The sequence below is a fragment of the Homo sapiens genome, chromosome 6, assembly GCF_000001405.40.
Source record: "Homo sapiens chromosome 6, GRCh38.p14 Primary Assembly".
NCBI classification, from domain to species: domain Eukaryota; kingdom Metazoa; phylum Chordata; class Mammalia; order Primates; family Hominidae; genus Homo; species Homo sapiens.
In genome coordinates, this window is record NC_000006.12 from 107,967,065 (window position 1) to 107,990,348 (window position 23,284).

Genomic DNA, 23,284 nt, shown 5'->3' on the forward strand with positions numbered 1-23,284 from the left:
ATTTTTGTATTTTTAGTAAAGACAGGGTTGGCCAGGCTGATCTCGAACGCCTGACCTCAAGTGATCCACCCACCTTGGCCTCCCAAAGTGCTGGGATTACGGGCATGAGCCACTGTGCCCAGTCTCAAACTTATTTTTGACCATTATTCATAATAAATATATTTTACATTATGGCTCAGTGTGTTACTGAAAAAAATATCATGTGCAAACCACTGTGATTTTTTCTTATTCCATAAATTTATTTATATAAAATATAAATAAATGATACATATTAACATATAAAATGCTTTATTAAATAAATAAGCAACTACAATCCAGAAATTTTCTGCAGGTGCATTGGGGAACTTGGTCATAAAATTTAGCTAAGATCACCTTAGCGTGTTCTTGAACATTCTTTGTATTATCAGGTGGAAAGCTTTTCATTTAAGAAACTCCTCTGGGGCAGTAGTTCTCAGATTTAGCAGCCTGACAATCACCTGAAAGGCTTGTTAAAACACAAATTGTTAGGCCCCAAGCCAGAGTTTCTGATTCAGGCCCTCAGGGTCAAGTTTTTTTTTGTTTTTTTTTAATCAGTGTTGACCAGGTTGGCCTCGAACGTGTAGCCTCGCCTCCCCGAGTGCCAGGGCAACCGGCCTGAGCCACGGCGGCTCCCAAGTTTCATATTTCTACCAAGTTCCCAGGTGATACTCCTGCTCCTGGTCTGGAAACCACACTGCTCTAGGGAATCATTTCTGTGAATCAAATAATCCTTTGCACAGTGAATAATCACTTCCTAACTTATTTGTTGGTCATATGTCAAGTTCACCGAAACAAAGTATATTGCACTGGCTGGATATGTGTGAATGTAATTTTTTTGAATGTACATGAGGTCAAAAGTGAGGACTTCAAGGAGGCAGCCTGCTTCCTGGTTCCTTCCTCCAAGCTATTCTGGTGCTCCTTTTCAGAACTATTTAATCATTCATTCATTCATTTATTTAAATATTGAGACTATGTGCCAAGAGCCATGCTAAGTTCTAGAATACAGTCAGCCTGAGCATTTGAAAAGAAAACATTGCCCTTAAGAAAGCTGTAGAATCATGCTGAGACCATTTTTGTCCTTTTAAAACCATTTAGTTTTTGGTAGTGAGGATCAGGTGCTCTTCCAGAGACAGGAAGATGACAAAAGCAGGCAACTGCTGGCGAGTTTTCAGGCTACTAATCCACTGGTCTTTGAAAACGGTATTTCCCAAGCCTCCCTGTGAGAAGGAGCAGAGCACCTGGGTGGTTGATAAATGACAGCTGTCAGGCCGTTGGTAATCCTGATGCACCGAGCTGGGTATGAGGCCTGGTAGTTATGGTTTTAGCAAGTACTTCAGATAAGTCTTACCAAAAGAGTGTGGGAAACACTGTTTTAAATTATCTTCGGCCAGGCCCAGTGGCTCATGCCTGTAATCCTAGCACTTTGGGAGGCCAAGGCGGGTGGATCACCTGAGGTCAGGAGTTTGAGACCAGCCTGGCCAACATAATGAAACCCCCGTCTATACTAAAAATATGAAAAATTAGCCAGGCATGGTGGTGGATGCCTGTAATCCCAGCTACTTAGGAGGCTGAGGCAGGAGAATCACTTGAACCTGGAAGGTGGAGGTTGCAGTGAGCCAAGATCGCACCACTGCACTCCAGCCTGGGCAACAAGAGTGAAACTCCATCTCAAAATAAATAAGAAAATAAAATAAAATAATCTTCAAATACAACATAGCCCCCAGAATTGTATTAACTAAAATGAGAAAGTATTCACAATAGTTCAGTGCTCCTCAAACTTTGCTGCATGTAAGAATCATTTAGGGAACTTAAAAACATTTCCAATGCCTAGTCCTATTCCCTATAGCAATTAAATCAAAATCTCCCCCAGGTGATTCCAACTGGCAGCCAAATTTTAGAACCAGCCCATAAAAGTTAAGCCTCTCTTCATGTTGAAGCACCTTTCACAGTCTCTTCCCATTGAAACGGCCTCCATTACCATGACAACCTACATCCTGCTTAAGTGCTGGGGGGCTTGTGCTGGGGAGGTGGGGATCTTGAGCGTTCTTGATCTATTGAGGCCAGCAGCCTAGCCTCTTTTGAAAGTTCTGTAAGGGATCAGGAACTGCCCCAGAGTTTGGTGGCTTCTGGGACTCTGCTTAAAGCTGTAGGCACTGTAGACCAGTGCCTCTCAAACTTTAATGTGTATATGAATCCCTTGGGGATCTTAGTAGAATGAAGATTCTGTTTCAGGCCTGGCGTAGATTTTTTGCATTTCCAAGAAGCTGCAGTTGATGCTTATGCTGCTGGACCATAAACTACATTTTAAGTAGCAAAGCTATGGATCCTCCCTGAAAGCCAGTGTCAATAGATAAAAGCAGCAACAGCATGTAGCAGTGGCAAATATGCTAAGATAAAAGGGAATGGTGACTGTTTTGTAGGCAGGATGCTATAAAGCCAATTGGGCCAGGCACGGTGGCTCATGCCTGTAATCCCAGCACTTTGGGAGGCCGAGGCGGGTGGGTCACCTGAGGTCAGGAGTTCGAGACCAGCCCGGCCAACATGGCGAAACCCCATCTCTACTAAAAATACAAAAATTAGCGGGGCATGGTGGGTCGCCTGTAATCCCAGCTACTCAGGAGGCTGAGACAGGAGAATCACTTGAACCCGGGAGGCGGAGGTTTCAGGGAGTCAAGATCGCACCATTGCACTCCAGCCTGGGCGACAAGAGTGAAACTGTCTCAAAAGAAAAGAAAAGAGCATAAAAAACAATATTTGAGGAAACTAAAGTGGAAAGAACAGTAGACCAAACTGATGAGATAGATTTGAGATAGTCATAGTTACACTAAAGAGTGTGTAAAACAATACTGAAAGATATGGTAGAAGGGTAGATAAAGAAAAGCAGAGTAGCAGAGAAGAGCCTGGGCTTCCAAATCAGATTAAATTCAAAACCTGGCTCTACTGCTTACTGCCTATGTGACTTAAGCAGATGACTTAATTTATCTGTAAAATGGGAATAACTTTCCTACTAGTTTTGTACCTTTGCAAATGGGTTAACATGAAAGGTGCCCAGCCCAGGCTTGGTAACAGTATGTCCTCAATAAATGATTGCTACCATGATATAAATATATAAATGAAGCCCAGGTGTCTAGGGCTTCACCAATTGTATGTTCATTCATTCAATCTTGATGGCTTGCTTTCCTCCCTTCCTTCTTTCTTTCCTTCCTTCTATCCTTCCTTCCTTCTTTCCTTCTATCCTTCCTTCCTTCCTTCCTTCCAGACAGGGTCTCACTCTCTGGCCAGGCTAGAGTGCAGTAGCACGATCATGGCTCACTGCAGCCTTGACCTGCTGGCCTCAGGCGATCTTCCTGTTTCAGCCTCCCAGGTAGCTGGGACCACAGCCACATGCCACTACGCCTGGCTAATTTTTTGTGGAGTTGGAGTTTCACCATGTTGTCCAGGCTTATCTCGAACTCTTGGGCTTAAGCAACCTGCCCACCTCGGTCTCCCAAAGTGCTGGGATTACAGGAGTGGGTCACTGTGCCTGACCCTAGGTAGCTTTCTAACCCTGCTTGGCAGGCTGCAGAAAATCCAACTTTATGCAGAAGTTGTGCAAATAACCTGGGGAGCTCTCTTGCGTTCCCGTATTGGACTTTCTCATTGCTCTCTGCAGGCTCAGACCACAACAGAACCCAGAGAGGCATTACCCTTGCCATCACCACCAAGGTTGCCAATGCCTGAATACTGGAGCCTTTGCATCTTAATAGTTGAAATCCATGTCATTGCTCTTGCAAAATGAACGTACCTGAGTATTACCTACGTTATTTGTCTAGAATTTGGTGACGGCAGTAGCGTATATTCTCTGAAACTGGGGTGGAAGTAGTGATGTCAGGAGAGACGTCCACAGAAAGGAATCTTGAGCATCAACAGGTCTCAGAACCTTCACCTCACACACACAGGCATTTTCTCCCCAGAGTACACAAATGGAGTGGACGTTCCTGTGTAGACATCCATTCTATCCAGAGCGGCTCACTAACCACTCTCTGATGGTAAAGTCTTGTTGCTGATAACATGAACATTTGCTGAGGACTTATATCAGCTATCCTCAACTATCCCTATGAAGTAGGAACTATAACTGCATCGATTTTCCACATGAGAGAAAGAAGGTTTAGAAAGACCAAGAAATAGGCCCAGGGTCACGCATATAGTAAGCAGTAGAGGTGGGTTTTGAATAAAGTCATTCTGACTCCAGGACAAACATGTTCATTTTTTTAAAATTTCTATTTATTTTTTTTTGAGATTTTTTTATATTATTTATTTTATTTATTTATTTAATTTAATTTTTATTTATTTATGTTTTTGAGTCTCACTCTGTTGCCCAGTCTGGAGTGCAGTGGCACGACCTCGGCTCACTGCAATCTCTGCCTCCCAGGCTCAAACGATTCTCGTGTCTCAGCCTCCTGAGTAGCTGGGATTACAGGCACCCAGCTTGTTGAACTCCTGGGCTCAAGGGATCCTCCCACCTTGACCTCCCAAAGTGCTGGGATTACAGGGGTGAGCCACTTGTCTAATTTTTTTTTTTTTTCTGAGATGGAGACTCACTCTGTCGCCCAGGCTGGAGCGCAGTGGCGCGATCTCGGCTCACTGCAAGCTCCGCCTCCCGGGTTCACGCCATTCTCCTGCCTCAGCCTCCCCAGCAGCTGGGACTACAGGTGCCCGCCACCACACCCAGCTAATTTTTTGAATTTTTAGTAGAGATGGGGTTTCACCATGTTAGCCAGGATGGTCTCGATCTCCTGACCTCGTGATCTGCCCGCCTCGGCCTCCCAAAGTGCTGGGATTACAGGCATGAGCCACCACGCCCGGCCTAATTTTTGTATTTTTAGTAGAGATGGGGTTTCACCACGTTAGCCAGGCTGCTCTCAAACTCCTGACCTCAAGTGATCCTCCTACCTTGGCCTCCCAAAGTGTTGGGATTACAGGCGTGAGCCGCCTCTCCCAGCTGCATGTTCAGCTTTGTGTCCACTCACTATTCTATTCCCTGCACCAGATTCCTCATACTGACCATTTCATTCTCCAAACATCTAGCTTCCACTTGGGGCCCCTAGTCAATCAGATATGTCTGTATATGTCTTAATCCTAATCGTGGACAGTGTTCAAGTATTTTATTCAGAGGGCTCCTTAATTCTGTTGCAAATCAGTGAATGCAAATAGCTACAAGGTAAAGGGGGTTACCAGCCTCCACTCTCCAGGAATATCTGAGTCTCAGTCTGATCTTCAAAGCCCTTTACAAAGTTGCTCCATCATTATCATCTTAATCCCATAACTGGGTGACTTTGATAGGCTGGAACTAAGTTTTCTGGATTTTATAGGCAAATTCTATGACTATATCATTCATATAATAGAAGGGGGTAAGGAGGACCAAAAAGGAAGAAAAAACTGAATTTCAGGTTCATTTGCTCAGGCTCTCAGTTCCTGCAGAACATGAGTTACAACAGTAGTGATGAGGGCAGCCCAGGGTGCTTCAGATGCAGTGTAACCAGCTCAAGTCCTGCTGCTCGCCGCTCAGAGGTCAAAAGCACAAGAAGCGAGGTGTGGTGAAAGGAAAGCAACTTTATTCAAATGCTAGAAGTTGGGGAATAGCCAGGCTCATGCCTTTAAAAGACCATTCCCAACTTTAGGCTAGGGAGAGGGACTTAAAAAGGGGAACTTGGAATGGGAAGTATGCAGGAGTGGTGCTGAGTTCAAGGTCTGTGTCTCTTGTTTCCCTGGTGACTGTCAGGGTGATCTGATGTCATCTGAACGATGGCCGGGTTGTAGACTAACAGCCTTGAGGTAATCTCTGGCATTTTGCAGCTGGGCCTCCATGTCTGGTTTATGTCAAGATTAGACCCTGGAACTTCTAAGTAAGCACATAATTAGATCCAAGTACAATTAGATAAATGTGCATGGTGTAAGGGAGTGTATGGTAAGAAAGGGAGAGACGCGGTGTTTCAAATAAAGTACATTTCAAGGCTACGTCCTAATACTAAGGAGGAAAAAAGGGTTTCTGCAGTAGGCTTCAAGGTTACATCTTGAGACTGGAGAGAAAAGAGAAAAAGGGGGGAAAAAGTTTTGAAATGCATTTTGAAGCTGAGCTATTCAGTTCCCATAGGGTCCCATCTCCAATAGATGAACCTAAGAAATAAGTGAGCAAGAGAACTGTGGGGCTGTCATTTATATGGTGTTACAGCTGCTGTGACCCATCCCTCACCTGCAGGTATCAGATGAAGGGTCCTAAATTGGAATCAGGCAGAGAGAGAATAAGAGAAAGAGAAGGGATTGAAGTACACCCAAAAATCCTTTATATATTAACAGGCATGTGAATCTTTAAGATGCAGTACAGGATGTGAGGTTTACCAAATTATTTGACCACTGCCTCCCTTTTTTTTTTTTTTTTTAACAGAATAAGCAAAACAAGAGTTTTTTTTTAATTATTATTTTTTTCTTTATTTTTTTTTCCCCTTTGGTAGAGTCAGGGTCTCACTATGTTGCCCAGGTTGGTCTTGAACTCCTGAGCTCAAGGGATCCTCCCACCTTGACCTCCCAAAGTGCTGGGATTACAGGGGTCAGCCAACATGCCTAGTCAACAAGGGTTTAGTGTTTTGCAAAAACACACTTGGGAAATGCTGGTCTAGTAGATTTTTGGAACACACATGCCACCAATGGATGACTTTATCAAGAGTAGAGAAACCAGTTTGTCAGGTAAGAAGGGGAAGGAAAGACAGGGAGGAACGAAGGTGCTCAGCGGAAGGGAAGGAACAGGAATGACAGCTGGAGAAAGTGGCATGGGAGGAGGATACTGAGGAAGAACTGATTGCTAGGGGTGTTTCGTTTTGCTTTGTTTTTGAGACAGGGTCTCGTTCTGTGGTCCAGGCTGGAGTGCAGTGGTGTGATCACAGCCCACTGAAGCCTCAACTTCCTGGGCTCAGGTGATTCTCCCTCCTCAGCCTCCCAAGTAGCTGGGACCACAGGCCCACACCACCAGGCACGACTAATTTTGTTGTTGTTGTTGTTATTTTCTGTAGTGATGGGGTTTCGCCATGCTTCCCAGTCTTGTCTCAAACTCCTGGGCTCAAGCTATTTGCCCACCTCAGCCTCCCAAAGTGCTGGGATTATGGGCATGAGGCACTGTGCCCAGCCTGGTTTATTTTCTTTTAAAATATGTGTGGTCTTGCCATGTTTCTAGAACACACTCTCAGCCCATCTGTTTTCCATCTCTTACAGGATGCTTCTAGCTGCTCTCCTGGGTGGAACATCACAGAAATCATCCCCCTGCCCCACTCTGGGGCTTGGGGCCCTCCTGGTCTGCCAAGAGGTTCCCAAGCTGATTGCCAAGGGGCCATCTTATTCTTAGATACAATCTTATCTCCAATCCCTATGGAAGGTTTAAGTAGTAATTTACTCAAAGATTTAGGAAAGAAGTCCAGAACCAAGCTTCACTGGGGATGGGAGTTGGGGTGGGTGCGGTTTAAAGTAAATATCCTCAGACCCCTACCCAGCCACTTTGCTCCCAGTCACCAATCACAAACCAAATCCCCACCACGGGGTTTTCCGAACTCTTACAGTCTCACAGCCTTTGATGTTGGCCCTCAATGGCCTGTGAGGGACCAAGCTCTGGTCACATGGATGGAGAGAAGAATCAATGATACCATTTGTTACTACCGGGTCTTACATTTGGGGATGTTGCTAGTTTCCGCCGATCTAGAGCATCCAAAGTCAAGCACATTTAATCACCTTAAGGAGTAATTTTCTTTTCTCTTTCTTTTTCTTTTCCTTTTTTTCTCTTCAAGACAAGGTCTCACTCTGTTGCCCAGGCTGGAGTGCAGTGGTGTGATCGTGGCTCACTGTCGCCTCCACCTCCTAGGCTCAAGTGATCCTCCTACCTCAACCTCCCAAGTAGTTGGAACCACAGGCAGGTGCCACCATGTCTGGCCAATCTTTTTCTTTTTTGTAGACATGGGGTCTCACTATGTTGCCCAGGCTGGTTTCAAACTCCTGGGCACAAGCAATCCTCCTGTCTCAGCCTCCCAAAATGCTGGGATTACAGGCATGACCCACAACACCTGGCCAAGAGTGATTTTCAAACCCTGTCTGGTCACCTTAGGAAATCCATATTTACCTAGTAACTGCACCGTGACTATCTTGACAGCTAATGATCCAGTCTCATTCTGTCAGAAAAAGAAATGCCTCTTCCTTACATTAAGAGGAATGGGAAACCTGGACAGCACCTCCCTAATTCCTGGAGTGTGTATGTGAGGGGCGTCAGTGTCAGTGAGAGTTATGGAATGGGGAGAAGATGGAAGGAGAAGGAAGGAGCCTGTGGAGTGCGTGGAATTGAAGATACAGAAAGAGGGATATTTTGAAGATTTATTTATGAACCCTAAACTGTTTTTTTTGTTTTGTTGTTGTTGTTGTTGCTGCTGCTGTTGTTTTCACAGAGACTTGCTCTGTCGTCCAGGCTGGAGTGCAGTGGGGTGGTCTCCGCTCACTGCAACCTCTGTCTCCTGGGTTCAAGCGATTCTTCTGCCTCAGCCTCCTCAGTAGCTGGGACTACAGGTGTGTGCCACCATGCCTGGCTAATTTTCTTTTGTATTTTTAGTAGAGACAGAGTTTCGCCACATTGGCCAGATTGGTCTCAAACTCCTGATCTCAGACGATCCTCCTGCCTTGGCCTCCCAAAGTGCTGGGATTACAGGCATGAGCCACCGTGCCTGGCCCCTAAACTGTTTTTAATTCCTATGATTAATGTGGTTATAAATAAGCTTGGCAAGAAAAATACTTAGTATAATTTATCATCTCAAGAGATAAAAGTATAAAAGTACAAAACTTTAAAATAATGCTCCTTAAAAACATAAGCTCTAATTCTGAATATGCCATTAACTAACTTTGTGACCTTGGACAAGTCACATCACTTTGCACTTTACAATTGAGTGTGTTTGTTTTATCATCTACAAAATGATATAATATTACACACTTTATCCCCTTTACAGGGATACTATGAAGGTCAAATCAGATTACATTAAAATAGTGATAATTACTTACATTTGCATAGTACTTTATCATCCACAAAACATTTCTGCATATATTATTGCATTTGCATGAAAGAGCTTTGAAAAGTTATAGTGTTATAAAAGGACAGTGCCTCTGTTTGAATACCAGCTCCATCTTTCTCTCCTTCAAATTGCTAATCAGTAAGATGAGGCTAGTAGTAGCATCTGCCTCATAGGTTGTTGAGAGGATTACATAATATGCTGCATAGGCAGCTGTGGACTCAGGGCCTGCATAAATAAATATTCAGACCGGGCACAGTGGCTCACACCTGCAATCCCAGTACTTTCGGAGGCTGAAGTGGGAGGACTGCTTGAGCCCAGGAGTTTGAGACCAGTCTGGGCAATAGAGTGAGACCTTGTTTCTACAAAAAGATTTTAAAAATTAGCCAAGCATGGTGACGCATGCCTATAGTCCCAGCTACTCAGGAGGCTGAGATGGGAGGGATCGCTTGAGCCCAGGAGGTCAAGGCCACAGTGAGCAGTGACTGCACTACTATACTCCAGCATGAATGACAGAGTGAGACCATGTCTCAAAAAAAAAAGGAAGAAAGAAATATTCAACAAAATCCACTTTGTTGAATATTTATGTTAATACTCAATGTTAAAAAATGCAAATGTCACCTCCTAAAGGCCTTTCAGGCCTCTTCATCTAAAACAGTGCCCTCCTTCTGCCATCACTTTCCAGTTCCTTGCCCTGGTTTATTTTTCTGAGTAACACTTTATGATATAAAGTAACTACTTTATATCATATTTGCTTAAAATCTCCATGAAGACAGAGATTTTGTCTGTCTTGTTTACCTCTCTATTCAGGATAGTAGATACTCAATAAATATTTATTGATTGAATGAAGTTAGTTATCATAATTGCTATTGTTATTATTACCTAATGTCCCTTCCTCACTTTGCCTTCGACTGTCTTGTATCATCGAGGGCATTAGAAATATTCTCTCTGGCCGGTGCAGTGGCTCATGGCTGTAATCCCAGCACTTTGGGAGGCCGAGGTAGGTGGATTGCTTGAGCCCAGGGGTTTGAGATCAGCCTGGGCAACATGGCAAAACCCCATCTGTACCAAAAATATAAAAATTAGCCAGTCTCATAACCTGGTCTCAAAATAAACAGAAAAAAATGTTTAAAGAAATATTCTCTCCAAGTTTTCAAGAACTACTTAAATCAAGCAATTACCAGGTTGTTGCTGTCTTCCCAGGAATTTTTATTTTCTAGTATGGAGGACCACCAGCAGATGGCAATCAAGGAATACAAAAATCTGAGTTTATCCTATTTAGGAAGATTTTGGTAAATAGATTTAAGAATCATAAGATGAGCTGGGCACGGTGGCTCACACCAAAGTAATCCCAGCACTTTGGGAGGCTAAAGCAGGAGGATTGCTTGAAGCCAGGAGTTTGAGACCAGCCTGGGCAATATAGCAAGACCTCATCTCTATAACAACAACAATTTTTTTTTTTTTTTTTTTTTGCAGGGGTGAGGAATCTCACTCTGTGGCCCAGGCTGAAGTGCAGTGGCTCAATCTCAGCTCACTGCAACCTCCACCTCCCAAGTAGCTGGGATTACAGGCGCCACCCACCATCACACCCAGTTAGGTCTTTTGTTTTTTCGTTTTTTGTATTTTTAGTAGAGATGGGGTTTCCCATGTTTGCCAGGCTGGCCTTGAACTCCTGACCTCAGGTGATCTCCCCGCCTCGGCCTCCCAAAGTGCTGGGATTATAGGCGTGAGCCACCACACCTGGCCTCCATTTTTTTTTTTTTTTTTTTTTTTAGGAATCATAAGATGATAAATTTAAGGTAAGCAGACCACTGTATTCTACCTCTTGAATATCGGCTCTTCTCAGAGCCAGTTTCTCATGCCCCAAACACATCTTCTACCAGTGACTAGAATTAATGTCTAACCTCAAAAAAGTCACCGAAACAAATTATAAGATCCTTTAGGTAATCTAGCGGAAACTTAGGCCTGGTGTGGTGGCTCACACCTGTAATTCTAGCACTTTGGGAAGCCAAGGTGGGAGGATTCCTGGAGCCCAGAAGTTCAAGAACAGCCTGAACAACGAAGCAAGACCCCATCTGTAATTTTAAAAAATTAAAACAACAAAAACAAAGACAAATGGAAACTTTAGTTATTCTATGTAAAAATGAATTAGTAGAATTTGTTTTTATTTAGGTATTATATTTCCTTTTGATTTCCTGCTTACATCTTGAGCCAAGGTACATTTTCTTTGGTATGTAAAAAAATGAACATTTGTGTAAATGCTTTTCCAATGGTAGAAAACTTATAGTTCTGGCAGAATAGAGCTGCAAAATTATCAGAGGGAAGGAATTTGCTGATAACATTCCAGTACATGTACATGGGGATGGGGAAAGGGAGTTCACAGCAATTTTACAACTTTAAGAAAAACGAATTTTACAACTGGTTTTACAAAAATAGGAATTTCTTTTCTTTTTTTTTTTTTTGAGACAGAGTTTCGCTTTTGTTGCCCAGGCTGGAGTGCAATGGCACGATCTTGGCTCACCACAACCTCCGCCTCCTGGGTTCAAGCAATTCTCCTGCCTCAACCTCCCAAGTAGCTGGGATTACAGGCATGTGCCACCACGCCAGGCTAATATTTTTTTTTTTTTTTTTTTGAGACGGAGTCTCGCTCTTTCGCCCAGGCCGGACTGCAGTGGCGCTATCTTCGCTCACTGCAACCTCTACCTCCCAGGTTCACGCCATTCTCCTGCCTCAGCCTCCCGAGTAGCTGGGACTACAGGCGCCCGCCACCGCGCCCGGCTAATTTTTTGTATTTTTAGTAGAGATGGGGTTTCACCGTGTTAGCCAGGATGGTCTCGATCTCCTGACCTCGTGATCCGCCTGCCTCGGCCTCCCAAAGTGCTGGGATTACAGGTATGAGCCGCCGCCCCTGGCCCTTTTCTCTTTTTTTGCACTTTGCTTCTGAAGACGTGTTAGAGAGTAGGTGTTCAATTAAATCAAACACTCTCAATAGGGTAATAGAAGACTTTGTCCTTGTTGACGAATACTGGTATCTATGCTTTCCATTTGCTAAAATTGCTCTGAGTTTCCAGGGAGAGTTGCAGTGTGGTCAAGCCTACAGAATGCTAATACTGCTAATTTTTCTGTTAGGTTGAAACAAAGAGAATTTCAGTTTATAGTTTACAGCTCAAATATATTTGATGGCATAACAAAACCCCTTGAAATATGGCTGGTACTTCATTGTAGAAGATGATTAACCTGTCTTGTTTCATTTTGTTTTGTTTGACGATACCTTTACCAGAAAAAAGCCTCATAAAACACTTTAAAAAACAAACAAACATTGTACCTGGAGAGTGTGGGGAATGTCCAGTATTTAAGAGAAGTTATGAACAATAAATAATATTTTTGGACTTCTGCTATGTATTAGGCAATATTATCTTAAGACAGACAAATTATTTAGCCCATATATATAGATTAGGCAATTAAGGAGCAGTGAGATTCATAGTTTGCCAAGGTTACATGAGCTGAGATTGGAACCAGGCCTATTTGGGTAAATGTAAGCACTTCCCTGCACTATAATTAATTGTTGATCTTATTCTAACAAATGGTGTTAAACACTTGGAACTTCCTAGTTAATGCAGAAATTTAACCAAATCACCTGGGAAACTGTTAAAAATTTAGAGTCCCAGACCATATCCCTAGAGATACTAATTCAGAAAATCTGGTGTGGGGCCTAGGAATCTGAGGTGTGTTTTTGTTTATTTGTTTATTTTTATTTATTTATTTTTTTGAGACAAGAGTCTCACTTTGTTTCCCAGGCTGGAGTGCAGTGGGGCAATCCTGGCTCACTGCAACCTCCGTCTTCCGGGTTTAAGCGATTCTCCTGCCTCAGCCTCCTGAGTAGCGGGGATTATAGGCATGCAGCACTATGCCCAATTTTTATATTTTTAGTAGAGACAGGGCTTCACTGTTTGTTGGCTGGGCTTGTCTCAAACTCCTGACCTCAAGCTATCTGCTCGTGTCGGCCTCCCAAAGTGCTGGGATTACAGGCATGAGCCACCGTGCCTGGCCAGGAATCTGAGTTTTTAACAAGCTCTCCAGTGATTGTGCTGCAGGCACTCTTCTGACCTCAAACACTTTGAGAAAGCACAGGCCCAACCCTGTGGACCTTAAAGAACAAAGAATTCTTTGAGAACCTGATGAAAGCTCTAGACCATTTTCTAGATAAATGCACATTTCACATCCCCAAATTTTACCTACAACTTAAGAGGGTTCACAGACACTCTGGACCTATGGATGCTTGGTCTCTTTCCTGTCCCAGTTGAAACTGGCCTGATAAGGAACCTCTTCCACCTCTCCACCGAGAGAGGTCACTCTTCAGCCTCAAACAGCCTCCCTGTTTTTTCTTTTTTTCTTTCTTCTTAACTACAAAGGGAAGAGTTTTCCAGGAAAATGAAGTGACTGTTGTTTGAAAAGGAGCTTCATCTTATAAATAGAGCAGCCTCTGCTGCTGTGCTTCCAAAAGTTAAGCTGAAACAGGATAATAGTGTTATCTGCAATCAGGATGAAGGCCAATCTGGATAAAGGTGTTGGGATTAAAACCAACAGCAGGGACCAAAGATTAATAAGGGCACAACCAGAAGAAAGAATCATTAAATTTATTTTCTCAAGAAGCCCTTTCTCTAATGTCTTTTCAGACTCTAGGTTTTCTCTTAGGTCTTTTATTTTATTTTATTTATTTTTTTGAGACGGTGTCTCCTCTGTCGCCCAGGCTGGAGTGCAGTGGCACAATCTCGGCTCACTGCAACCTCCACCTCGCGGGTTCAAGTGATTCTCCTGCCTCAGCCTCCCGAGTAGCTGGTACTACAGGCTCATGCCATCACCCCCAGCTAATTTTTTTTATTTTTGTAGAGATGGGGTCTCACTATGTTGCCCAGGCTGGTTTTAAACTCCTGGGCTCAGGCTCTCCTCCCACTTCAGCCTCCCAAAGTGCTGGAATTACAGATGTGAGCCACTCACCTGGCGAGGTTTCCATTTTTAAGCTAATCTTTGCATCTTTAAATAACTCAAGACTGATGCAGCCCATCTTTTAAAACATAGCTAATATTGATAGAGTCCTCAAAAGTTTGCTTGTGATATGTTCTGGATTCTGTAACATCGAAAAGGTGTAAGGAGAACATATAAACCAGGAGCTGTAAACCAGGGGCTCCAGACACAGATCCAGAGAAGTTGATAGATAGATAGATAGAAGTTAAGGAAGAAGTGTTGTTTCTGCAAGCACCCTGGTATTGTTCATAAATTTCGTGTGTTTATGTACTTTTGGGGGGAGAGATTCAATGGCTTTCATCAAATGCTTAAGGGAATCTTCAACTAAAATTTTAAAAGTAATCACTTATAAAAGAGTCTTATCTCACAAGGACTAGACAAGCAAACAGGCAGCAAAGCTTGTGGCACAGGCATAGTGACCACTGACTTAAAGTGGCCTATGCACCGTTGTCAAAACACCTGTCACGATTTTGGTTTATATTTGGGACATTCTGCCAGAAGGACCACTTGTTCAGAAACACGTCCTCCCTGGCTGGGTGCAGTGGTTCACGACTATAATCCCAGCACTTTGGGAGGCAGAGGCAGGAGGATTGCTTGAGCTCACGAGTTGAGACCAGCCTGGACAACATAGTGAAACCTCATCTCTACTAAAAAAAAAAAAAAAAAAGAAAGAAAGAAGCATGTCTTCCCTGATGTAGGAAGAGAAGCATGTTTTTTAGAGCCAGAAAAACCTGTTGAATGACAAGGACAGATGATACAAATTCTCCTGGACTCCTAATGCGATTTAAAATCAGGAATGATAATTTCTAATTCATCAGATTGCTGGGAGGTATCAGTGAAATGCCGCATGTAAAGCTCCTCGCACAGTGTCTGGCATAGGTGAGCACTCAGGAGTGTTATTGTCCCTCTTCCTCACCACCACACTAAGATTCTCCATGATGGGAATGCTGAGAACAAGCAATCTGCTGCTAGGATGGGGCTGCACCTGGTCAGACCGACCCGAAATCTGGTCTAGGAAACCTGAGGGAAAACAGATTTGTTTGGAAATTCCTATTTTCAGGTCTCTCACCGGAAGTCACAAGTGATGAAAATACATCATTCTTGTCCTTGAAGTTGTTGGACCCTAAGAGGGCAGATGGTACAAACAGTAAGTTAGCAGCGGCCACAGGGCACAGGACACTCACAGCACATGAATAAGCAGAAATACTCTACGCGCTTGATTAATAACAGGTTGTGATAGACAGGACAAAACCACATGGAGTTGACTTAGGAGGTATTCATGAAGGAAATGATTATTGAGCGATATTTTTAAGGTGGGGGAAGGGATATCATTTAGGAGAAAGAAAGAAAGAGGGGAGAAAGCTGAAAAGGTAGGAGAGAGTGCCATTGGGGCAGGCTTAGGAGCAGATTTGCAGGGCAGCAGGGAAGCCATGCTTGAGGGCCTGTGAAAAGATGACAGCAGTTAGGTGTGGGGGAAGGGAGGTAGCTAATTGGTAGAGACCCTTGAAGCCTGTGATTAGGAGTTTTAATTTAATTCAAGAGGCAATTGGAGCTATTGCAGGCTGCTAAGAAGGGGAGTGATATGATCAAAATGATGCTTGAGGACAACGGTTCTTGCTGTTCTGGCTGCTGTGAGCAGAGTGGATTAGATGAAGGAGATCCTCAGGCTGGGGGTGCTGATCTGAGGCTGTTTCACAAACCAGGTGTGAGGGGACGTGGCCTAGAACAGGATTCTGGGGATGGGGTAGAAGGAGCAGAGCTCGAATATGTTATGTGGGATAAACATTCATTCATTCTTAGAACCGGGCACTGGGTTGGACACTGGATATCGTGGGGCACAGAGGCTAAGATCAGGGGAGACAATTAAGCTTTGTTAATATTGTAGGATTGAAGTTCTGTGACCATTAAATCAGAGAAATGTGGGAGCACATAGCAGGAGCAGCACCTCACTGAGTCATGGGGAGGGACACGGGGGTCAGGGAAGTCTTCCTTGAGAAAGTGGTGTTTAAACTGGGCACTTAAAAAAGAATCAGGAGCGAGGGTAGTGGCTCACTCCTGTAATCCCAGCACTTGGGGAGGTCGAGGTGGATAGATCATTTGAGGTCAGGAGTTTGAGACCAGCCGGACCAACATAGTGAAACCCCACCTCTACTAAAAATACAAAAATTAGCTGGGCATAGTGGCACGCACCTATAGTCCCAGCTACTTGGTAGGCTGACGCAGGAGAATCACTTGAACCCGGGAGGTGGAAGTTGCAGTGAGCTAAGATTGCATCACTGCACTCCAGCCTGGGCAACAGAGTGAGACTGTCTCAAAAAACAAAAAACAAAAAACAACAAAAAAAAAAACAGAATCAGGCTGGGCTCGGTGGCTCATGCCTGTAATCCCAGCACTTTGGGAGGCTGAGGTGGGTAGATCATTAGAGATCAGGAGTTCGAGATCAGCTTGGCCAACGTGGTGAAACCCCATCTCTACTAAAAATACAAAATTAGCTGGGCATGGTGGCGGGCGCCTGTAATCCCAGCTACTCGGGAGGCTGAGGCAGGAGAATTGCTTGAACCCAGGAGGTGGAGGTTGCAGTGAGCCGAGATTGTGCCACTGCACTCCAGCCTGGGCAATAGAGTGAGACTCCATCTCAAAAAAAAAAAAAAAAAAAAAAAAAAAAAAAGAATCAGATCTCAACTGAGTAAGAAGTCATTGGGGAAATGTTACAGGCAGGGAGCCTCAAGATAAAAAGGCAGGGGTAGCCACAAGGGAAGGGAAGAATGACTCCAGGAGAGGCTCAAGGGGGCAAGCAAAGGGGGAGCAGACCGAGAAAGGCCTTTATTTTGCAATATGGGTTGTGGACTTTATCCTAAGGGCCGTGAAGGGCCATAAAAGATGAACGATTCATGTTTCATTTTAACAAAATCCCTCCAGCTATGTTGTGGAGGAAATGTATTGCCGGAGGTTAGGATGGGAATCTACCTGGGAGACATGTTGTCATAGTTTAGGGGAGAGGTGATTGGGAAACTGAGATAGATACATGTGATGGATTCAAGAGATATTTAGGATATAGAACTTAGGGGATGAGAAAAAGATTGAGAGAAGAGAAGGAAGGCAAGAGTATAAGAACAGATGTCATCAGCCCAGGGAGGGAAGAGGTATTGTTTAGGGTCACACAGCCAGCCTGTGGAAGTATCAGTATTAAAATCCAAGTCTCTAGTATTTAAAACAATAACAACTATATATATATATATACACACACGTATATATGTATACTTGTATATATGTGTATATATATATTAGGCTAGGCATGCTCATGCCTGTAATGCCAGCACTTTGGGAAGCTGAGGCAGGAGGATCACTTGAGCCCAGGAGTTAGAGATTAGACTGGGCAACATAAGGAGACCTTGTCTCTACAAGAAAACAAAAAAATTAGCCGGGCGTGGTGGCATACACCTGTATAGTCCCAGAACTCGGGCGGCTGAGATGGGAGGATGGGTTGAGTCTGGGAGGTTGAGGCTTCAGTGAGCCATGATTACACACTGCACTTCAGCCTGGGCAACAGAGTGAGAACTGTCTTAAAAACAAAAACAAAAAACATGATCTTTCCTTTCCTTTCTTATCATGCTCATGTTTTCCTTTCCATACTTGAAAATATTTTTAAAATTTATAATAGCTATTTTAAGTTCCTTGTCTACTTAATCCATTATCTCTGTCACTTATGGATCTGTTTCTATTGGTTAGTGTTTCTCCTGGGTGTTAGTTCTATTTTTCTGCTTCTTTGCATGCCTGCTAATTTGTATTGGTTGCCAGACATTGTGAATTTTATTTTGTTGGATGCCAGATTTTGCAGTCTCAGTCTCTCTCTCTCTCTTTTTCCAACATGTCAAAAAGAACCTTTACTACTTTTATAATAGCCTCTTAACGCTTTCTTGCCAGATGCTTTTGGACAACATGCTTTCTGGGCACGTTGCTTTTGAAACTTCTGAGCTTTCAGAGGAGGCACTGCCTCTAGCCTGTGGCTTTCTGGGCAGGAACCTTCTGGGCTGGAGCCTTCTTGCCTGCAAGAAGTCATCTTTTTTGCTGGAACTATAGCAGCAGGTACTTTTGGGGGAGAAGGTTTCAAGAGACCTGCCTTTTGAAGCTTCATGTTCTTTTTTTTTTTTTTTTTTTTTTTTTTGAGACAGGGTTTCACTCTGTCACCCAGGCTGGAGTGCAGTGGCACAATCTCGGCTCACTGCAACCTCCGTCTCTCGGGTTCAAGCAATTCTCCTGCCTCAGCCTCCTGAGTAGCTGGGACTACAGGTGCATGCCACCAAACCCAGCTAATTTTTATATTTTCAGCAGAGATGGAGTTTTGCCATGTTGGCCAGGCTGGTCTCGAACTCCTGATCTCAAGTGATCCACCTACCTCGGCCTCCCAAAGTGCTGGGATTATGGGTGTGCGCCACCGATCCTGGCCTTTTTTGAAGCTTCTTAATGTCATTCTTGATTATTCTGTTCCTCATTTTCTTTGCCTTTGTGACTCTCCTGTATATTATGAGCAGAGTCCTGTGCTCCCCCATGCCACGTGGACAGCGCCTGGGGAGAGTGACCTCCCAGGATATCCACACTGGAAGGTTTTGTCGTGTTCTTAAAGAGTTTTGGACTTGCAGGATTCTCGCCAACCAGGATCATGCTCAGGTTTGTTGCCTGAGGCCACCCACTCTTCCACCTCCTGCCGCACTTTCTGCTTGATCTGCTGGGCTAGTTTCCTTCCAGAAATGACAACAGCTTCATTTTGAACTGCCGCGAGGTGGAAGGGAGCAGCTATGTGCAGGCTGCAGCAGCCAGGCAGCCAACACGGACATGAGGGAAGTCGCAGCCATAGCCCGCGCCGGTGACCACGACGGGCCAGGTCACACTTTAATCAACAGCAATCACCAGAAAATTCAGTTATGAACTCAGTAGAATTCAGCACTTGCCAAAAATTCTTCAGACATATGTTGTTTAAGAGTTACCATGTAAGGACTAATTAGCCATTATTCTTTTCAGTTCTCTACTTTCCATTTCTATTTCCTGTCAGTGCAGTAGAAAGTCATGGTGGCCGATGTAGGACTGTCTATGGGCAAATTAGAAAAAAGTGTCCCTCGGGCCAGGCACAGTGGCTCATGCCTATAATCCCAGGACTTGGAGATGCTGAGGCAGGAGAATCACTTGAGCTCCGGAGTTCAAGACCGGCCTGGGAAACTTAATGAGACCCCTTTTCAATTTAAAAAGAAAGAAAGAAGTGTCCCCTCCTTAAGACATCTTTTTGTATCTATTGGAAAACTGTCATAAACATCTGATTTTATTAAAACAAGAAACGTTGGCTAGGCACAGTAGCTCACACCTGTAATCCCAGCACTTTGGGAGGCCAAGGTGGGTGGATCACCTGAGGTCAGGAGTTCGAGACCAGCCTGGCCAACATGGCAAAACCTCGTCTCTACCAAAAAAAAATTAAAAATTAGCCGGGCATGGTGGCGCATACCCGTAACCCCAGCTACTTGGGAAGCTGAGAATCACTTGAACCCAGGAGGCGGAGGTTGCTGTAAGCAGAGATCATGCCACTGCACTCCAGCCTGGACAACAGAGCAAGACCCTGTCTCAGAAAAAAAAAAAGAAAAGAAAAAGAAAAAAAGAACAAGAAACATTATTGCCATCTACCAGACTTTTTATTTTTTTGAGACAGAGTTTTGCTCTTGTTGCCCAAGCTGGAGTATAATGGCTCAATCTCAGCTCACTGCAACCTGTACCCCCGGGGTTCAATTTATTCTCTTGCCTCAGCCTCCCGAGTTGCTGGGATTACAGGCATGCACCATCATGCTCGACTAATTTTGTATTTTTAGTAAAGACAGGGTTTCACCATGTTGGCTGGGCTGGTCTCAAACTCGTGACCTCAGGTGATCCGCCCACCTCAGCCTCCCAAAGTGCTGGGATTACAGGCGTGAGCCACTTCACGTGGCCTACCAGACATTTTTCATGATAAATATTCAAATCTACAATGTAAATAGCATCCCTCAGATTTACATAGGTGCCCTGGGTCAATGAAACCACCAATAATAAGAAAAGTAAAATATAGACATAGATTATTAAATTGTAAAAAAATTAAGGTGAACTCATCATATATAAAGGAAATATCTTCCCAGCTCTGTCATTGAAAGTGACCCCCCTGTGGCACTCCTCTTACCTTCCCACCAACATTTTTATGCACTCCTAACACCCAGATTTTGTTCTCTAAAAGTATTCTCCATTAAACAGAACCAAGGTGTCTTCCATAAAAGAACTCTACACCTGTTTGGTATATCCTATTATTTGCAGGAAACAAATGTTACTGGAAAGGGGTCTGGATCCAGACTCCAAGAGAGGGTTCTTGGATCTTGCGAAAGAAAGTATTTGGGGTGAGTCCATACAATCAAGTGAAAGCAAGTTTATTAAGAAAGTTAAGGAATAAAAGAATGGCTACTCCATAGGCACAGCAGCCCTGAGGGTTGCAGGTTGCCCATTTTTATGGTTATTTCTTGATGATATGCTAAACAAGGGGTGGATTATTCATGCCTCCCGTTTTTAGACCACATAGGGTAACTTCCTGACGTTGCCATGTCATTTGTAAACTTTCATCGTGCTGGTGGGACTGTCTTTAAACATGCTAATGCATTATAATTAGCATATAATGAGCAGCAAGAACAACCAGAGGTCACTGTCATTGCCATCTTGGTTTTGGTGGGTTTTAGCGGGCTTCTTTATTGCAACCTATTTTATCAGTAAGATCTTTCTGATCTTATCTTGTGCTGACCTCCTATCTCATCTTATGACTTAGAATGCCTAACTGTCTGGGAATGCGGCGCAGTAGGCCTCAGCCTTATTCTACCCAGCCCCTGTTCAAGATGGAGTTGCTCTGATTCAAATATCTCTGACACAAGGATGTCAAAGGCAATACTGAAAGGAAAGGAAGCCAACCAAAAGGGCTCCCATTGGCCAGCCTGTGATAATGTGAGCATTAGAAAATAACAATATCAATTTTAGATATCTTTAGTAGTAGTAATAGTAGTAGTAAGTAATAATATGACAGTTATTTTGAACTAGCTGAACCTGGATAGCAATGAGTTTATAACCATAATCAAAGGAGAAACACTCTTTTAAATAGCAACAGATAGTTGTAATAAATAAAAAGGGTGAATATTGAGGACTAAACTTTGACTTTTTTCTTTTCTTGCCCAAATTCCTACCTAAGGGGCCTGAGGAGTCACATCCTACAAACCATAAAGTCTCATCAGAGGGGCTTTATTTAACCCTATATAACGTGGCTCACTTTCCAACTTGACTCTGGCATAACATCGCATAACAAATAAGGAAGAAAATCAAAATATTTTCACTCCAAATATATTTCCTTGCCGTATCTTGAAACTGCCCTGCAAAGTCATCTCTTGTCGGGGGAAATCCCCTTTCTGTAGAGAATTCCCTTTCCCTTTTTCCAGGAGAGAATCAACAAATATTTACAATCTCTTCTCTCTGAATACTGCTACCTGGAAGCCTCATCTCCATAATAAGAACCTTGGTCTCTACAACCCCTTGTCTTAACCTAGGCATTTCCTTTCTTTTGATCCCAGGTCCTTAGATAAACTCTTTAACCAATTGCCAATCAGCAAATTTTTAAATCTATGGCCTGGAAGCTCACCTGACCCAGCTGTTTTGAGTTGTCCCACCTTTCTGGACCCAACTGAACCAACGTAAATGCTCAAAAATGTATAAAACCAACCACCTTGGGCACATGTTCTCAGGATCTCCTGAGGGCCGTGTCATGGACCATGATCACTCATATTTGGCTTGGAATAAATCTCTTCAAATATATTACGGAGTTTTACTCTTTTCATCAACAATATGATAAAATAGATTTCATTTTTATTGATTTTGGTAAAAGTTATAGTATGGATATTAGTTGTTGTTGTTGTTGTTTTGAACTACGTAAGTAGAAAACAGTAAATATGGCCAGGTCCTATGGTTTACACCTGTAATCCCAGCACTTTGGGAAACTGAGGTGGGAGCATTGCTTGAGTCCAGGAGTTTGAGACCAGCCTGGGCAACATAGTGAGACCCTGTTTCTACCAAAAATTTTAAAAATTATCTGGGTGTGGTGACACATGCCTGTAGTCCCAGCTACCTGGGAGGCTGAGTTGGGAAGATTGCTTAGGCCTGGGAGGTTAAGGCTGCAGTGAGCTGTGATTACACCACTGCACTCCAGCCTGGGCAACAGAGCGAGACCCTGTCTCAGAAAAAATAAAAAGAAAAGAAAAGAGTAAATATAGACAGTAATGAGTCAAATTATCCCTAAAGAATTAGGTGTTCAGCCAGAAAAGCAAAATCCCTACCAGTCCAGGGGCAGCTCAGATAGAAGCAGGTCAAAGGCTCTCTGGGAGCTGGTCAGCACTGGGAGTCCTTGGCAGTTGCCAGTGAAAAAGAGGAGCCAATTCTGTGCTCCAAGGCAACACATTACCCAAATTCCTCAAGGAAGAAGATCGTTAGTGATACAGGAGCTAGAAATAAATTATTTATGCAGATAGATAGTGAGGGCAAAAGAGTCCTTAGTAAGGGTTCCCTTTTAAGAAAAAGTAGCCCAAGGAATTATTATTTTTTTCTAACAAAGAGCAGACCGAAAAATCAAGCTGCAAATGTAGATAAGCAAGCTGGAAGTTTGCACAGGGGAACACCGGCAGCTGTGCCAATAGAAAGGTGTTACCTGGGGGCCAGGCATATCCAACATGGAGGCTCCATCTTCCCTTTTTTGTTACCATGTGTACAGTACAGGAATGGACATCGTGGCATCGGCCAGGCAGATAACCCATCTGCATAATAAAAGATTAGGGTGGGGGTGGCCATCTTTTCATGCTATATGCAAATGGCACACCTAGCCCTAACCAGTTTTTCACACCTATGCAAATGGTACACTACCTGGTCCAAACAATCTTTTGCACCATATGTAAGTCAGACACTGCCTCCTCAAGCTCATCTATAAAACGCCCTGCATTTCACTGCAGATCTAGCAACCCATTTCTCTGGGACCCCTCTCTGCTGCAAAGAGCTCTTCTCTTTCTTTCATCTATTAAACTTCCACTCTTAACCTCACTCCTTATCTGTCCATGTCCTTGATTTCCTCGGTGTGAGACAAC

At 43.6% G+C, this 23,284-nt stretch overlaps 1 pseudogene, besides 1 other annotated feature; it reads right to left on the bottom strand.

Annotated features, from left to right (window-relative positions):
- MTHFD2P3 (methylenetetrahydrofolate dehydrogenase (NADP+ dependent) 2, methenyltetrahydrofolate cyclohydrolase pseudogene 3) lies at positions 18,747-18,967 on the bottom strand (annotated as a pseudogene).
- Positions 21,326-22,032: an enhancer, noted in NCBI's record as "NANOG-H3K27ac hESC enhancer chr6:108309594-108310300 (GRCh37/hg19 assembly coordinates)". NCBI's record gives its function as "activates a minimal SCP1, AML or CMV promoter by ChIP-STARR-seq in primed H9 embryonic stem cells {active_cell/tissue: H9 hESC(primed)}" and the evidence as "EXISTENCE:reporter gene assay evidence [ECO:0000049][PMID:30033119]".